The 15,773-nt window shown below is 40.2% G+C and overlaps 1 protein-coding gene across 1 annotated transcript in view, besides 2 other annotated features; it reads left to right on the top strand.

Annotated features, from left to right (window-relative positions):
- Positions 1 to 11,645, top strand: part of SMIM31 (small integral membrane protein 31) — a 49,665-nt gene extending 38,020 nt beyond the window's left edge. Inside the window, exon 3 of the mRNA NM_001352885.1 lies at positions 8,941 to 11,645. Within this exon, the coding sequence (NP_001339814.1) occupies positions 8,941 to 9,044 (104 nt within the window). The 3' untranslated portion in view covers positions 9,045 to 11,645. The remainder of the gene's footprint in view (positions 1 to 8,940) is intronic.
- Positions 6,992 to 7,610: an enhancer, noted in NCBI's record as "OCT4-NANOG-H3K27ac-H3K4me1 hESC enhancer chr4:165720294-165720912 (GRCh37/hg19 assembly coordinates)". NCBI's record gives its function as "activates a minimal SCP1, AML or CMV promoter by ChIP-STARR-seq in naive and primed H9 embryonic stem cells {active_cell/tissue: H9 hESC(naive and primed)}" and the evidence as "EXISTENCE:reporter gene assay evidence [ECO:0000049][PMID:30033119]".
- Positions 7,611 to 8,230: an enhancer, noted in NCBI's record as "OCT4-NANOG-H3K27ac hESC enhancer chr4:165720913-165721532 (GRCh37/hg19 assembly coordinates)". NCBI's record gives its function as "activates a minimal SCP1, AML or CMV promoter by ChIP-STARR-seq in primed H9 embryonic stem cells {active_cell/tissue: H9 hESC(primed)}" and the evidence as "EXISTENCE:reporter gene assay evidence [ECO:0000049][PMID:30033119]".
- Positions 11,646 to 15,773: the final 4,128 nt, after the last annotated feature.

Genomic DNA, 15,773 nt, shown 5'->3' on the forward strand with positions numbered 1-15,773 from the left:
TTTCAGAATGCTCTCAAGTGACATCATGGTGCTAGGCCACAGACTACACTTTAAGTAGCAACATTTTAGATTATCATTAACCTTTTTCAAAGCGGTTTCTTGAAAGCTGTCTAAAAAGGGGGAGATAATTGAAAATATATTTTTTAAAGATGTGTAGGAACTCATTGACAAAAGGAGTGTTCTGAAGTAATATAATATCTAGGCAATATTTTGGCAAATTTCTCCACCCTTTGGGAAACTTAGTTTGTCTTGATGTAAATTTTGCCAATAAATCATTAGCAATAATTTTTTTTCACAGTTTATTTAATTAAGGTTTTCTACATGAGATTTGAGGAAAGGAAGAACATGAAGATGCAGTCTATAATTCCTAAAAGAGAAATTTGCCAAAATTTGTCTAAATTTTATAGCATTTCAAAGTACTGAATTTGTTTCAAAAGGTTTTGTCTTTTTAATTTTTTGTTTAACATTATTAATTGGTGAATTCAGCATCTGAACTGTGATTACTACTATGGAAGACCACTTCAGTACACATAAAAATCCAAATACTATTCAAAGTTTTCTACAGATTCACCAAAGTTGCTACCAAAATTCAATAACTTTTTTTGCAGAAATAAAAAAATTTATCATAAAATTCATATAGAATCTCAAGGCACCCTAGTCAAAACAATTTTGAAAAATAAGAGCAAAGTTGGAAGACTCATATTTCCTGATTTCAAAACATTACAAAGCCACAGTAATCAATACAGTGTAGCACTGGCATAAAAACAGAAAAAAACATACCAATGGATTAGAATAAAGAGCTCATTCAATTTCAAAAGGGTCTCCTCTTCAACAACAGGTGTTGAGAAAACTGAATACCGTGGAATACTATGCAGCCATAAAAAAAGAACAAAATCATGTTCTTTGCAGCAATATGGCTGATACTGGAGGTCATTACATTAAGCAAATATACACAGGAACAGGAAATAAAATGCCATTATGTTCTCTCTTATAAGCTGAAGCTAAATATTGGGTACTCATGAATATAAACATGGACAACAATAGATACTGGAGACTAACGGAGTGAGGAGGGAGAAAAGAAGGGTTGAAAAACTAATTATTGAGCACGAGGCTCACTATCTGGGTGACGGAATCATTTGTATTCCAAACCTCGGTATCCCACAATAACTCAGGTAACAAACCTGTGTTTGTAACCCCTGAATCTAAAATAAAAGTTGAAATTATGAAACAAAAAAACTAGATATCCACATACAAAAGAATGAAGTTGGACCTTCATCTTACACCAGGTATTAGTCTGCCATAATAAAATACCTTAGACTGGATGGCTTATACAATAAAAATTTATTTTTTACAGTTCTGGAGGCTGGGAAGTCCAAGATCAAGGTACTGGTCAAGTAGGTTTTATTCTGAGACTGCTTCTCTTGGCTTGTAGGCAGCCACTATATCGCTGTTTGCTTACATGATTTCTTCTTTGTGTGAATGCAGGGAAAAAGAGCAAGATCTCTGGTGTCTCACCTTATAAGGATACTAATTCTATTAGACCTGAGCCCCATCCTTATGACCTCATTGAACCTCAATGACTTCCTTAGAGGTTCTATCTCAAAACACACACACTAGGGGTTAGGGCTTCAGCATCTGAATTTGGGGCTAAGTGGGACAGAAACATTCAGTCTATAACACATCATATATATAAATTAACTCAAAATGGGTTAAAGATCTAAACGTAAGACTCAAAAATATAAAACTTCTGGAACAAAACATGAGAAAAGCATCGTAGCATTTGACTTGGCAATGATTTCTTGGCTATGACACCAAAAGCATATGCAACCAAAAGTAAGAACAAACAAAAGTAAATATAAATACTTATAAATAAATGATATAAACTACATCAAACTTAAAGACTTGTGCATTGAAAGCCACAATCAACAGGTTGAAAAGGCAACCTGCCAGGCACAGTGGCTCACGTCTGTAACCCCAGCATTTTGGGAGGCCAAGGCAGGTGGATCATTTGAGCCCAGGAGTTCCAGACCAGCCTGGGCAACATAAGGAAACCCCATCTCTACAAAAAATTTTAAAAATTTAGTTGGTAGCAGTGGTGCACGCCTGTAGTTCCAGCTATTTGGGAGGCTGAAGTGGGAGGATCACTTCAGCCCAGGAGGTTGAGCCTTCAGTGAGCCATGAATGATTGTGCCACTGCACTCCAGTCTGGGTGACAGAATGAGACCCTGTCTCAGAAGAAAAAAGAAGAAGAAGAAGAAAGAGGAAGAAAAGTAGATGTATATGTGGGGAAATTTCCACAATCTTTAGTGTAAAAAAACAACATATAGAACAATATGTATAGTACAACCACATTTTTGTTTAAAAACTAAAATAGGGCCAGACGCAGTGGCTCACACCTGTAATCCCAGCACTTTGGGAGGCCAAGGCGGGTGGATCACAAGGTCAAGAGATCAAGACCATCCTGGCCAACATGGTGAAACCCTGACTCTACTAAAAATACAAAAATTAGCTGGGCATGGTGGCGTGCGCCTGTAGTCCCAGCTCCTCAGGAGGCTGAGGCAGGAGAGTCGCTTGAACCCAGGAAGTGGAGGTTGCAGTGAGCTGAGATCAGGCCACTGCACTCCAGCCTGGCAACAGAGCAAGACTCCGTCTCAAAAAATAATAATAATAATAATAATTTTAAAAAACTAAAATAAATGAATATATCTTATAGAGATACACAGAGAGGAAGAGAAAGTATAAAAATATTTTTTAAAAAAATATTTTTTTAATCTGGAAATATATATATAATGAACTATTGCCTCTTAACATGAACTCTAATGAGTGGAATTAGAAAAGAATAACTTTCACTTCTTACTTTACATACTTTGCAATGAGAAAATAAAATTGTACTCTCACTCAATACTAATAAATCTCTATTTTTACACTGCAAGTTCTAAATTTGGCTACATAATTGTACAAAATTTAATTTTAATGAAGGCAACATTGTATCATGACTTTGAATCAGAAAGTTCTGCATTCAAATCTCAAATTTGCTTCTGACTCCTTGGATAAATTAGCTTAATATCACTGAGCCTCAGTTTTGTCCACCTATAACAAAGGGTTAATAAGAGCTACTTCGCAGGAGCCAGGCGCCATGACTTACACCTGTAATCCCAGCACTTTGGGAGGCCAAGGCTGGTGGATCACCTGAGGTCAGGAGTTCGAGGCCAGCCTGGCCAACATGGCAAAACCCTGTGTCTATTAAAAATACAAAAATTAGCCAGGTGTGGTGGTGGTCGCCTGTAATCCCAGCTACTCTGGAGGCTGAGGCAGAAGAATCACTTGAACCTGGGAGGCGGAGAGGTTGCAGTGAGGCGAGATCACGCCACTGCACTCCAGCCTGGTGACAGAGAGATACTCCATCTCAAAAAAAAAAAAAAAAAAAAAAAAAAGAAGAATCCTAATTTGTTAGAGTAAGATAATTGAATATAAGCAAATATAAGATAATTGAATATAACCCTACTTCACAGAGTTGTTGGGAAGAGCAAATGTTTAATAAATAAATAAAGATTGTATTTTTTTAGTCATTTTCATATTTCTAAGGCCTGCCATGTTGTAAGAAATCAAGTATTAATTATAATCAGTTAATAATGCATTTAATAACTGTTTACTAATTGCTTACAATATGCCGGGGCTGCATAGTATAAAGGTGACTAAAGCACAACCTCTGCCCTCCAAGAAAGCACAGTCTAGTGAGGTGCAATATCTCAGTTCCCTCCATTCGGCTTCTGATCACAGGTCACCAGACACTACAGAGAAACCCCCACCTTCACTCCTTGCTGACATCCTCAAAAGACTCTGAGAGGGTGGCAACTCTGTTATCATAAATTTACAGAAGTATCCAGCTTATGGGCTAATTCTCAGTGGGCTTAGAACTACTTAATGCTTGAATTTGCTTACCCAAAATATAAGCGAACTTGAATCATTTCCTCTGAAAAATCCTCAACTAGCCCATCAGGAGATGCACTATTTCTATTGGCCGGGTGGTGTTCAAACCACCATGTGTAAAATAAATTCTGTAGCATCACTTCTCATTCTGTTCTTTTTCTTCAGTTTGCAAACTTAATTTATTCACAACTGCCGAAAATGTTACTGCGGTGATGATTTTAAATCTGAATTCCTTCAATAATGAGAAATGAGTAGATATACACCTCTTGGTTCCCCCTCTACCTCCCCTATCAGTCCTTGTGTGCCTCCTTTGCAGGTTCCCCCTAATGCTGGAGCGCCTGGGACTCAGTCCTTCCACCTCCTCTCTATCGGTACACATTCCCTTGGGGATCGCTTTTACCTTGTTACTTTGGCTTTAAACAACATCTGTAAACTGATGAGTCACAAATTTGTATCTCTAGCCTAGACCTCTTTTCTGCTCAGCATGCCTACTTCAAAGTCAAATCTAAACTTAATTCCTGATCTTGCTTCCAAAACCTCATCCACCCACCACCTTCCCTTCAAAGTTGTTGGCAACTCCATCTTTCCAGTGGCTCAAGAAAAACCTCTTTCTCTCATAACCCATATCCAAACTGTCAGCAAATCTTGTTGGCTGTAGCTTCAAAATACACCCAGAATTTGATTACATTCCTTAAACTTCCACTGCCACCACCCTGATCCAAGCCACCATCATCTCTCACCCCAGAGTATGGCAATAATTGATCATATCATTCATTGGCTCAAAATCTTGTAATGATGCTATTTCATTTAGACCAATAGCCAAAATTCCTACAATGACTAACAGAGCCAAACGTCTTTCACCCAGCCTCTTGATCTTCTTTTCCGTATCTGTCTCTAAGGCCCTTGACTACACTGTTCTTCCAGCTGTTTCTGAAATACACAGAGGGGTTCCTGCTTTAGGTTGTTCTACTGGCTGCTGTCATTGCTTGGACGACTCTTTTAGTTAATAATATTCACATACATCACTCCTCATCTCCCTCAAGTACTTACTCAATGTCGCCTTCTTAATAAGCTTTACGCTCACCACATCATTTAAATTTCAATCTCCTCTTTACCTCAGTATTCCTGATCCTCCTTGCAAAGTTTTATTTTTTTATATCATGCATGCTAACATGCCATACATTTTCTTCTTTATTATATTTTGTTATTTATTGTCTATCTCTGTCTGCAAGAAGGTAAACTTGGGGATATGGGAAGAAAGAGTATATTAGTCAAGGTTTACAGAAACACAGACCAATAGAATATAGATATAAACACAGATACAAAAGGACATGTATATATATATGTATGTATGTATTTAGAGAGTAAAGTGCAGATTTCTTTTCTTTTTTTTTTTTTTTTGAGACAGAGTCTCACTCTGTCAGCCAGGCTGGAATGCAGTGGCGTGATCTTGGCTCACTGAAACATCGGTCTCCCAGGTTCAAGCGATTCTCCTGCCTCAGCCTCCTGAGTGGCTGGAACTACAGGTGCGTGCCACCATGCCCGGCCAATTTTTGTATTTTTAGTAGAGAAGAGGTTTCACCATTTTGGCCAGGCTAGTCTTGAACTCCTGACCTCAGGTGATCAGCCCGCCTAGGCCCCCAAAGTGCTGGGATTACAGGTGTGAGCCACCGCGCCTGGCCTAAAGTGCAAATTTCTTACATGCATATACTGCACAGTGGTGAAATCTGGGCTTTTAGTGTACCCATTACCCAAATAGTCAACATTATACCCAATAGGTAATTTTCAACCCTCACTACTCTCCCACCCTCCCACCTTTTGTTGTCCCTAATGTCTATTACTCCACTCTGAATGTTCATTTGTACCTATTGATTATCTCTCACCTATAAGTGAGAACATACAGTATTTGTCTTTCTGTTTGTCAGTTAGTTCACCTAGGATAATGGCCTCCAGTTCCATCCATGTTGCTGCAAAAGACATGATTTCATTCTTTTTTATGGGCTAAGTAATCCATGGTGTATACATACCACATTTTCTTTATCCAATTATCCATTGATGGACACTTAGGTTTAATTCCATATCTTTGCTATTGTGATCATTGTTGCGATAAACATATGAGTATAGGTATCTTTTTGATATAATGATTTTTATTTTTTTTTTTTATTTTTTTTGAGACGGAGTCTCGCTCTGTCGCCCAGTCTGGAGTGCAATGGCTCGATCTCAGGTCACTGCAAGCTCCGCCTCCTGGGTTCACGCCATTCTCCTGCCTCAGCCTCCTGAGTAGCTGGGACTACAGGCGCCCACCACCATGCCCAGTTAATATTTTGTATTTTTTTTTTTTTAGTAGAGACGGGGTTTCACCATGTTAACCAGGATGGTCTTGATCTCCTGACCTCGTGATCCGCCCACCTCGGCCTCCCAAAGTGCTGGGATTACAGGCATGAGCCACCACACCTGGCCTGATATAATGATTTTTAAAGGAGACTTACTATGAGAAATTGAGTTAGGGGATTATGGAGACTGAGAAATTCCATGATCTACTATCTGCAAGCTGGAGATCCACAAAAGCTGATGGTATAATTCCATTTAAGTCCGAAGACCGGAGAACCAGGAGAGTCAGTGATGTAAACTGCAGTCTGAGGGCATGATATTGTTTGGATGTTGTCCCCTCTAAATCTCATGTTGAATTGTAATCCCCGTTGTTGAAGGTGGGGCCCGGTTGGGGGTGATTGGATCATGGGGGTGAATTTCTCATGAATGGTTTAACACCATCCCCTCGGTGCTGTCCTTGTGATAGGGAGGAGGTTCTCATGAAGTCCGACTGTTTAAAGTGTGTGGCATCTTACCCCTCACCCTCTTGTTCCTGCTTTCACCATGTGAAGTGTCTGCTCCCATTTCACCTTCTGCCATGAGTAAAAGCTCCCTGAGGCCTCCCTGGAAGCTGAGCAGATGCCGGTGCCACGCTTGGGCAGCCTGCAGAAGCATGAGCTACTTAAACCTCTTTTCTTTATAAATTACCCAGTCTCTGGGCATGGTGGCTCACGTCTATAATCCCAGAACTTTAGGAGGCCAAAGAGGGTGGATCCCTTGAACTCGGGAGTTCAAGACCAGCCTGGGCAACATAACAAAACCCCATCCCTCCAAAACTACAAAAACTAGCTGGGTATGGTGGCACATACCCGTAATCCCAGCTACTTAAGAGGCTGAGGTGGGAGGATCGCTTGAGTCCAGGAGTTCAAGGCTGCAGTGAGCCAAGATCACGCCACTGCACTCCAGCCTGGGCAACAGAGCAAGCCCCTGTCTCAAAAAAATAATAAATAAATAAATAAAATAAACATAAACATAAATGAGCCAGTCTGAGGGATTTTTTTTTAACAGCGATGGAAAGAACAGCCTAATACAGGGCAGAAGAATATCTGAGATGAGATCCCCAGCTCAAGTAGTGAGGCAGGAAAAACAGGAGGAATTCCTCCTTCCTTAACCTTTTGTTCTATTCAGGCCCTCAACAGGTTGAATGAAACCCATTCACATGGGGAAGGCCATCTGCTTTACTGAGTCCACCAATTCAAATGCTAATCTCACCCAGAAACACCCTGACAGATACACCCAGAAACAATGTTTAATCTGGGCACCCATGGCCCACTCAAGTTGACACAAAAAATTAACCATCACAAAACGCAGTGATCTTTGTCAGTTTTATTCACTGATGTATCCCAAGCATTTAAAACACAGTCTGAAGCATGGTGTGTGCTCAGTAAGAATTGCTGAATGAATGAGTGAATGAATGATTGAAGATAAGTGGTGCTAATTGACATCAGGACTAATGATATAAATGGACAGTATGTGCAATCAAAGTAGATAGAAGTAAAATTTCAAAGCCATAAGGTGCTTTAAGGCTCACCCAACACAACCCCTTTAAAACATTTAGAAAACAGAACCAGAGAAATCAAATGTTTATGAGAGATCATTCTGCAAACTAGTGGCAAAGAGTAAAGAAAATCTGAGCCTTTTAATTTAGTAGTTTTCCTCAGCTCTTCACTACTTCTCTTGCCTAGGGAATGCTTTAGCCTAGATTTCTTGAGGTTCCAGAGGACAGTCACAATTACATTTAAAGGGTGTTTAACTTATGTTTTTCTTTTTCTTTTTTTTTTTGACAAAGTCTCTCTTTGTCGAGGCTGGAGTACAGTGGTGCTATCTCAGCTCTCTGCAATCTCCACCTCCCAGTTTCAAGCAATTATCCTGCCTCAGCCCCCTGAGTAGCTGGTATTACAGACGCGCCACCATGCCTGACTAATTTTTTAATTTTTAGTAGAGATGGGATTTCGCCCTGTTGGCCGGGCTGGTTTTGAACTCCTGGGTTCAAGTAATCTGCCCACCTCAGCCTCCCAAAGTGCTGGAATTACAGGCATGATCCATTGCACCTGGACTGTTTAACATATTTATTTCAGGAAATATTAACTAGTGCCTAAGAAATGGTATGTTGATATCTCACACAGTAGGTCCAGGGACCCCAGAACAGACTGAGATGGGTTACCAGACCAAGTGACAATGCCCCTCAGGCTTATGGATCCCAGTCTGTGGACAGTGGCCTCCCAAAATCTATCACAAGTTGTCTTGAGCACCCAGCCCTCTACAGCTTTCTCTGTCTTTATATGTGACATGTTTCTCACGTGCCATTAATTTTAACATCAATCTTAGTGCTCTTTCTGCTCATCATCTTAATGCCTCTTAGTTCAGAGGCAGTTCACACCTTACAAAAGATGTCATTAGCCTTTGCGATACTGAACCAAAACATTACCTAGGAAGAAACGAGTGTTCACTAGTCTCTTCTCAGTGGGCAAATGTCCTCTCATCCTTGCTCTGTCTCCTTTCGCTAGGTGTAATCCCTTTCCTAGCCAACAGGAAAAGTTACATTAGTGAGCACCCAAGTCTTCTTATAACCGAAGTTAATTTCTACTTTTTCCAAATGGTGTATTTACATTCCTTTTTCTAAATTCTTTCTTATTGCAGAGGAAGAACATGAAAAAAAGGGAAGGGAAAAGAAAAGGAAAAAGTCTGAAAAGAAGAAAAATTGCTCAGAGGAAGAGCACAGAATTGAAGCTGTTGAGCTATGATCTCATAGCCACCGATATTTCTCGCTAAGAAGACAGAGGAAGCAATCCATGGGAACTACTTATCCACAGTTACACAAGAGGAGGGGATAATGAAGAAAGTTAAAATCACTTACTGATTAAACACGATGATAATAACCATTAATGAACTCAATACTCGGGAAAGGCTTCACATTTCTGGGACTCAGCATTATCCAAAATATCTATTAAGAGCCATACACCATTCTAGCTGCAATTGATTATACAAAAAAAAAAAGACCAAAGTGGTTACAATAATAAAATAGAACACAGAGAAAGAAGAAAACTACATGTGTTACAATTTGGTAAGATAAACAAACAAACAAAAAATTTAATCACTTTTTTTGGTCCTGCGACACACATGATAATTTTTGTCTTAATTCTCCTAACAAATGATAATGAAAAGCTATAAGTAACTGTGTTATTGCTTCCGTATCTGAAATAGGTGAAAGAGGGAAAAAACACTATATATTTTTTCAGCTTTACAGAAGAAATTTTGAAAGGTTTACATTCAATGGAAATATTAGCATTGCCTCAGTAAGCTTTAAAACACAAATGTCTACGTTTTCTGAAGCAATATGGTTTACAGAGACATGAGTGTTTGTAAATCTCTCGTCCCAATACTATGTAAATCCTTAATGTGTAAGCATCCAGGAAAATTTGTCATTCTGTGTCCTTTATTCATCCTAAAAGTTGAAAGTTTTCTGTTATTTATATTTTTTTTTTTTTAATTTGAGAGAGAGGCTGGGTGCAGTGGCTCACGCCTGTAATCCCAGCACTTTGGGAGGCCGAGGTGGGCAGATCACGAGGTCAGGAGATTGAGACCATCCTAGCTAACACAGTGAAACCCCGTCTCTACTAAAAATACAAAAAATTAGCCGAGCGTGGTGGCGGGCGCCTATAGTCCCATCTTCTCGGGAAGCTGAGGCAGGAGAATGGTGTGAACCCGGGAGGCGGAGGTTGCAATGAGCTGAGATCATGCCACTGCACTCCAGCCTGGGCGACAGAGCAAGACTCTGTCTCAAAAGAAAAAAAACAAAGAGAGAGAGAGGGTCTCGCTTTGTCACCGAGGCTGGAGTGCAGTGGTGTAATCATAGCTCACTGCAACCTTAAGTTCCTGGGCTCAGGTGATCCTCTTGCTTCAGCCTCCCAAGTAACTGTGACTACAAGCATGTGTCATCACAGCCAGCTAATTTTTGTAATTGTTTGTAGAACCAAGGCCTCTCTATGTTGCCTAGGCTGGTCTCCAAATCCTGGACTCAAGCGATCCTCTGCCTTAGCCTCCCAAAGCACTGGGATTACACGCATGAGCCACCATGCCTGGCCTGTTATTTATAACTCTTACAAACATTAAACCATCACAATCAATGCTGGCAGCATTATCGTGGCAGGAAGGAATCCACAATACAACCAAAGATACCTACCTGCATCTCATAAGAATCATAGCTCAGGTCTCCATTGCCACAGAGTTTCAGTCATGTGAGAGACTCCCTTTATCTGTACTTACCCCTTACTGCTCACTTTCAAGAAAGATTCAATAAAGATGGCTTTCTGCCATACAGAGATAGGCATACTAGTGTAAACAGAATGCTTACAAAGTTAACCAAGTAGTCACCCAGGTCAGAGTACTAAACATTTAAAAGGGCTCACTAAGTTAGAGAGGACAGAGAATGGGCTTTGGAGATGAGCAGATCTGGGTTTGAGTCTGCTCCAACCTTTCCTTATTATATGACCTTGGGCAAAGTACTTAATTTCTCTGAGCCTTGGTGTTCTCTCTGAAAAAATGAGCATTTTAAAAAATCTTTGCTGGGCTGACAAATGGATGAGAGATAGTATAAGTAAAATGTGTAACTCAGTGCCTAGGATCGTTGCTGAATAACGCTACCTATTATTATTGGAAAGCATTTTGGGACATTTGGACTTTTAAGTTTACTGATACGTTTTTTCAGAAAAGCAGAAAAATCAACAACATGGTTTCAAATACTTGGATGAGGCTCCATTCACTCCCTTAGCCCATCTTACATATATTACTGCATTGACTGGAAATGGGAGGCACTTCACAATTAGGAATATTGTCAGGTCAGCCAGGCGCCGTGGGCATGCTTATAGTCCAAGCTACTCACAAGGCTGAGGCAGGAGGATCGCTTGAGCCTGGGAGTTTGAGGCTGCAGTGAGCTCCAGCCTGGGTGAAAGAGAAGACCCTATCTCAAAAAATAAAAAATTTTAAAAACCTGTCAAGTTAGATGTTAAAGAGGACATGTAAAATAAAATCTCCCTAACATGTTTATGAAATAGCTGCAAAAGGCTGAGCGTGGTGGCTCACGTCTGAAATCCCAGCACTTTGTGAAGCCGAGGTGGGTGGATCACCTGAGGTCAAGAGTTAGAGACCAGCCTGGCCAAGATGGTGAAACCTCCTCTCTACTAAAAATACAAAAATTAGCCAGGCGTGGTGGTCCATGCCTGTAATCCTAGCTACTCAGGAGGCTGAGGCAGGAGAATCACTTGAACCTGGGAGGCGGAGGTTGTAGTGAGCCAAGATTGCGCCATTGCTCTCCAGCCTGGGGAGCAAATGCAAAACTCCATTTCAAAAAAAAGAAAAGAAAAGAAATAACTGCCAAAACCCCAGGCTATTATTTTGTTACCCAAAGCATAACCAATCTACCAAAGCCATCCAAAATGCTTCAGAAGGCCGGGCGCAGTGACTCACGCCTATAATCCCAGCACTTAGGGAGGCCGAGTCAGGTGGGTCACTTGAGGCCAGAAATTCAAGACTAGCCTGGCCAACATGGTGAAACTCTGTCTCTAAAAATACAAAAATTAGCTGGGCGTAGTAGCCCGTGCCTGTAGTCCCAGCTACTTGGATGACTGAGGCACAAGAATTGCTTGAAGCCAGGAGGCAGAGCTTGCAGTGAGCAGACATTGTGCCACTGTACTCCAGCCTGGGCAACACAGCGAGACTCTGTCTAAAAAAAAAAAAAAGTGCTTCAAAAGCAACCGTATAACAGAGACATACTGAACATAGGATTTCTGCCATTCTTGTCTGCCTATAAGGATAGACAAACTATCTCAGATAAGTAACTGAGATATTTATTCAACGGTATTCTCATCCAGCATAAAATACTTTTTTCAATGTAGTAACAAACTTACCATCTTTTACTTTAAGTGTTCTATTATTTTTGATTTGCAATCAGAGCAATAGTAAATTGAGTGAGAAAGTTCTGAGTTTTACAGAAACTAGAAGGTGTAGGAATTTTCTTAAGAAATCCTGTTCTCATAGCAACCCATCCCGTTTCTTGATGAAGGAGTTCGGATAAGTATATGAAGTTTGGAGTGTTTATTACGACTCTCAGACCTTTTGAAATTTACCCATCACAAATACCTTCTGTTTTTATGTGTGCAGTTAATATAGATTTAAATATATACTTGCCTTCTGAATTTTATTATAGATATACAGATATAGACACCTTATGTTTCTTTCAATAGAAGTATCTAAGAAATAAACATTTTCTTTGAACTCTAATCACACTTAACAAAAAAGTTCTCTGGATCTAATAGCAACTTTCAAGCAGCCACATGCTAAACTAAGAAACCCAGCATCTCTCCATAGCTTTTCCTTGTCCATCTCCCAGAAAATCGGCTGTTCTTATTCAAAAGGGGTTTCCATTTTGTGAAGTATTTAAAAGGCAGTAAAGGAGAGTTAATAATTGGAGAAATATGATGGATAAGAATTGCACTTCAAACTTCTACTCTTGACACAGTCAGAGTCCAACGCTGGAGCTAATGGGTCGCTATACTGTTCACTGAGAGACTGAGTCAAACAAACAAACAAAAAGTTTGCTCAGATAAGAGAAAGAGTCCATCAAGGAAAATAAGAAGATAGGGGAGAGAGGCTAAAAAAAGGTATAGTGTTTCCAACAGTAAACATTTCATTTTGTCTTACAATAGGCAGGAAAACAGTCTATTCTTTGTTATTTTCTATCTGTTAGTATTTTAACTGATAAAAGACTGAAGTACTTTATTTCTTTTTGCTCTGATTTGGGAAGAAAGGACAGGACTTCAGAAGCACTTATTCTTAAGAAGACCTTTGTATTTCAGGCACTCATAACAGTGATGAAATACACAGATGGGTTCAAAATGTTACCTCTGCATTTATCAATCCAAATAAAATGATTATTATCTAATGACTGGAAAATAGATGTAAATGTTTCTAAAAGTAAAACCAACAATCCGTTATTTGTGCTACCTGGAAGTAGAGAAAGAATAACTAAGGTTCACAAATAATACAAAAGCTGACTTCATTCAGTGGTTTCAAGCTTCTCTCAAGCTTAATCTATTATTTGAAGAGTTAACCAGAAACTAAACCAATCAGCTGAAGTTTTAACTTTTTCTTCTTTCAGCTCTAAGTCCTTGTGGAAAAAGATATTAAAGTACAAGGAAAAGACCATAAGTCTTGCAGGAAGTAAAAACATGAAGAGAAAAATGTGGAGAGACAAGTAAACTGCGTTTTTCCGCAGTCTCAGAATTTATCCCGCTCTGTGTAACCCAGAAGTGACTGTGAAGGCGCAACCTGTGTATGTAGCCTGGACCCCACATGCTCTGCTACTGAGCTTGAGTCATTAATCTTCTGGCCACCGATTTTTCTCTCAAAAATTACATGAGCTTCCTCCATCAATAAATATCTTCAGTGCTCTATCCATTAATTTCCCATCCACTGAATAAAGGTTACAACAACTATTCATGAGGTTAGGTTTGTTTAAAAATACAGTTTACATCAATTAAGTGGGGTACATTAGGGAATTAGAAGGAGAACAGAGAAGGCAGCAGTGAGTGCTTCCAACCCAACTTCAGGGGCTGGGACAAGGTGAAATTACAGAGATCACAAACTGAAGATACTAAACAGGAATGAAAGGGGCTGGTCTCACATGTATCACAGCCTACCATTTCCAGAGACACAGCTCTCAGGTTCCAAAGGGACTAGTTGACATCAATTGCAAGATGGTTTTCTAGATCCCACAGCCTTTCTCAACAACAGTTTACAAGAGAATTAGCCATACAAAAAATTATTTGAGTGACTGTTTTTTCAATTTTCTGAAGGGTTGTGCATAACTAGTACTATTCTAATTGCACAGGAGAGAAATTAACTCATAACATTAATGCCTTAGGGTAGGTGTTGACAAACTAAGAACATAGCTGCCCACCCGTTTTTGTAAAATTTTTTTTGTATTTTTATTTGTTTATTTATTTTATTTTGAGTGGAGTCTCGCTCTTTTGCCCAGGATGGAGTGCAGTGGCACAATCTTGGCTCACTGCAACCTCTGCCTCATGGGTTCAAGCAATCCTCTCACCTCAGCCTCCCAAGTAGCTGGGATTGCAAGCGTGCACCACCACACGTGGCTAGTTTTTGTATTTTTTGTAGAGGCGAAGTTTCACCATGTTGGCCAGGCTGGTCTTGAACACCTGACCTCAAGTAATCCACCCACTTCGGCCTCCCAAAGTGCTGGGATTACAGGTGTGAGCCACCGCACCCGGCCCCATTTTTGTAAATATGGTTTTTTGGTAACACAGTCATGCTCATTCATTTTTTGTATTGACTATGACTGTTTTGAAGCTATAATGGTAGAACTGAGTAGATACAGATATGTCATTGCTTACAATTGCATATAAACTTTGGAAGAGTAAACAAGAAATTGGTAGCATTATTTGTTCCTAATGAGGAGAACTAAGGGTCTGTGAACAATTGCGGGAAGGAGACCTTTCCATATACAGCCTTTGGGCATAAGCAACCATGCCCAACCCCAAGTCTCTTCATAAAGGAAAATATTAATAATTTGTCTTGGTTGAATGTATGTTAAATGGAACAAAATTGATTCCTTTAAAAAATTATAGCCGGCAGCAGTGACTCACGACCATGGGCCCAGCACTTGGGAGGCCCAGACGGGTGGATCACTTGAGTCCAGGAGACCGGCCTGGGCAGCCTGTAGAAACTCTATGAAAAATAAAAAAGTTAGCCGGTGATTTGCACCTGTGGTCCCGGCTGCTAGTAGGGAGGTGGGGGGCAGTGCTGAGGTGGGAGGATTGCTTGAGCTCAGAAGGTGGAGGTTGCAGTGAGCCATGATCTTGCTCCACTGCACTCCAGCCTGGGTGACCGAGTGAGACCCTTCTCAAAAAATAAAATAAAATAAAATAAAAATTATAAACAAGGAAAAGTCTTAGTTCATAGATGAAATGATTAGACCTTCTTCTCTGGAGTAATAGAAATCGGTCCTTTCTGGATGAGAACCAGCATCTTTGCAGCCTTAAGCCACCTGAAGCTTAGTTGGCATGAGAACGTAGTTAGAAAACTCCTCTTTATTACTGAGAAGCAAATTCCAGAGGTTCATCTGCCAGGACTAACTTGGATCTGAGGGGTAGATACCTTTGCTCAAAAATGCAAATCTTCAGAGCTCGCGGAAGTGGAAGAATAACTACATAGGCAAAGAAAATGCCATCTCTGTCTCCGCGAGCTTCCTCTAGCAGGCCGGGATTTTTCATGGTCAGCCTGTTTGAAGCTCTACAGAAGCGTTCAGCCTAAGAGGTTTGTGTGCTTGGACAAAGCCCAGCGTGGACGCCACACACTTGAGGACGAAGGCATTCCTTTCATGTTAGCGGACTTTGGAATTTCCCTCCCTGGGATTTGTATTGTTTTCTCTTCGTGTTGGGATCAGTCCTATCGGT

The sequence above is a fragment of the Homo sapiens genome, chromosome 4 (genome assembly GCF_000001405.40).
Source record: "Homo sapiens chromosome 4, GRCh38.p14 Primary Assembly".
NCBI lineage: Eukaryota > Metazoa > Chordata > Mammalia > Primates > Hominidae > Homo > Homo sapiens.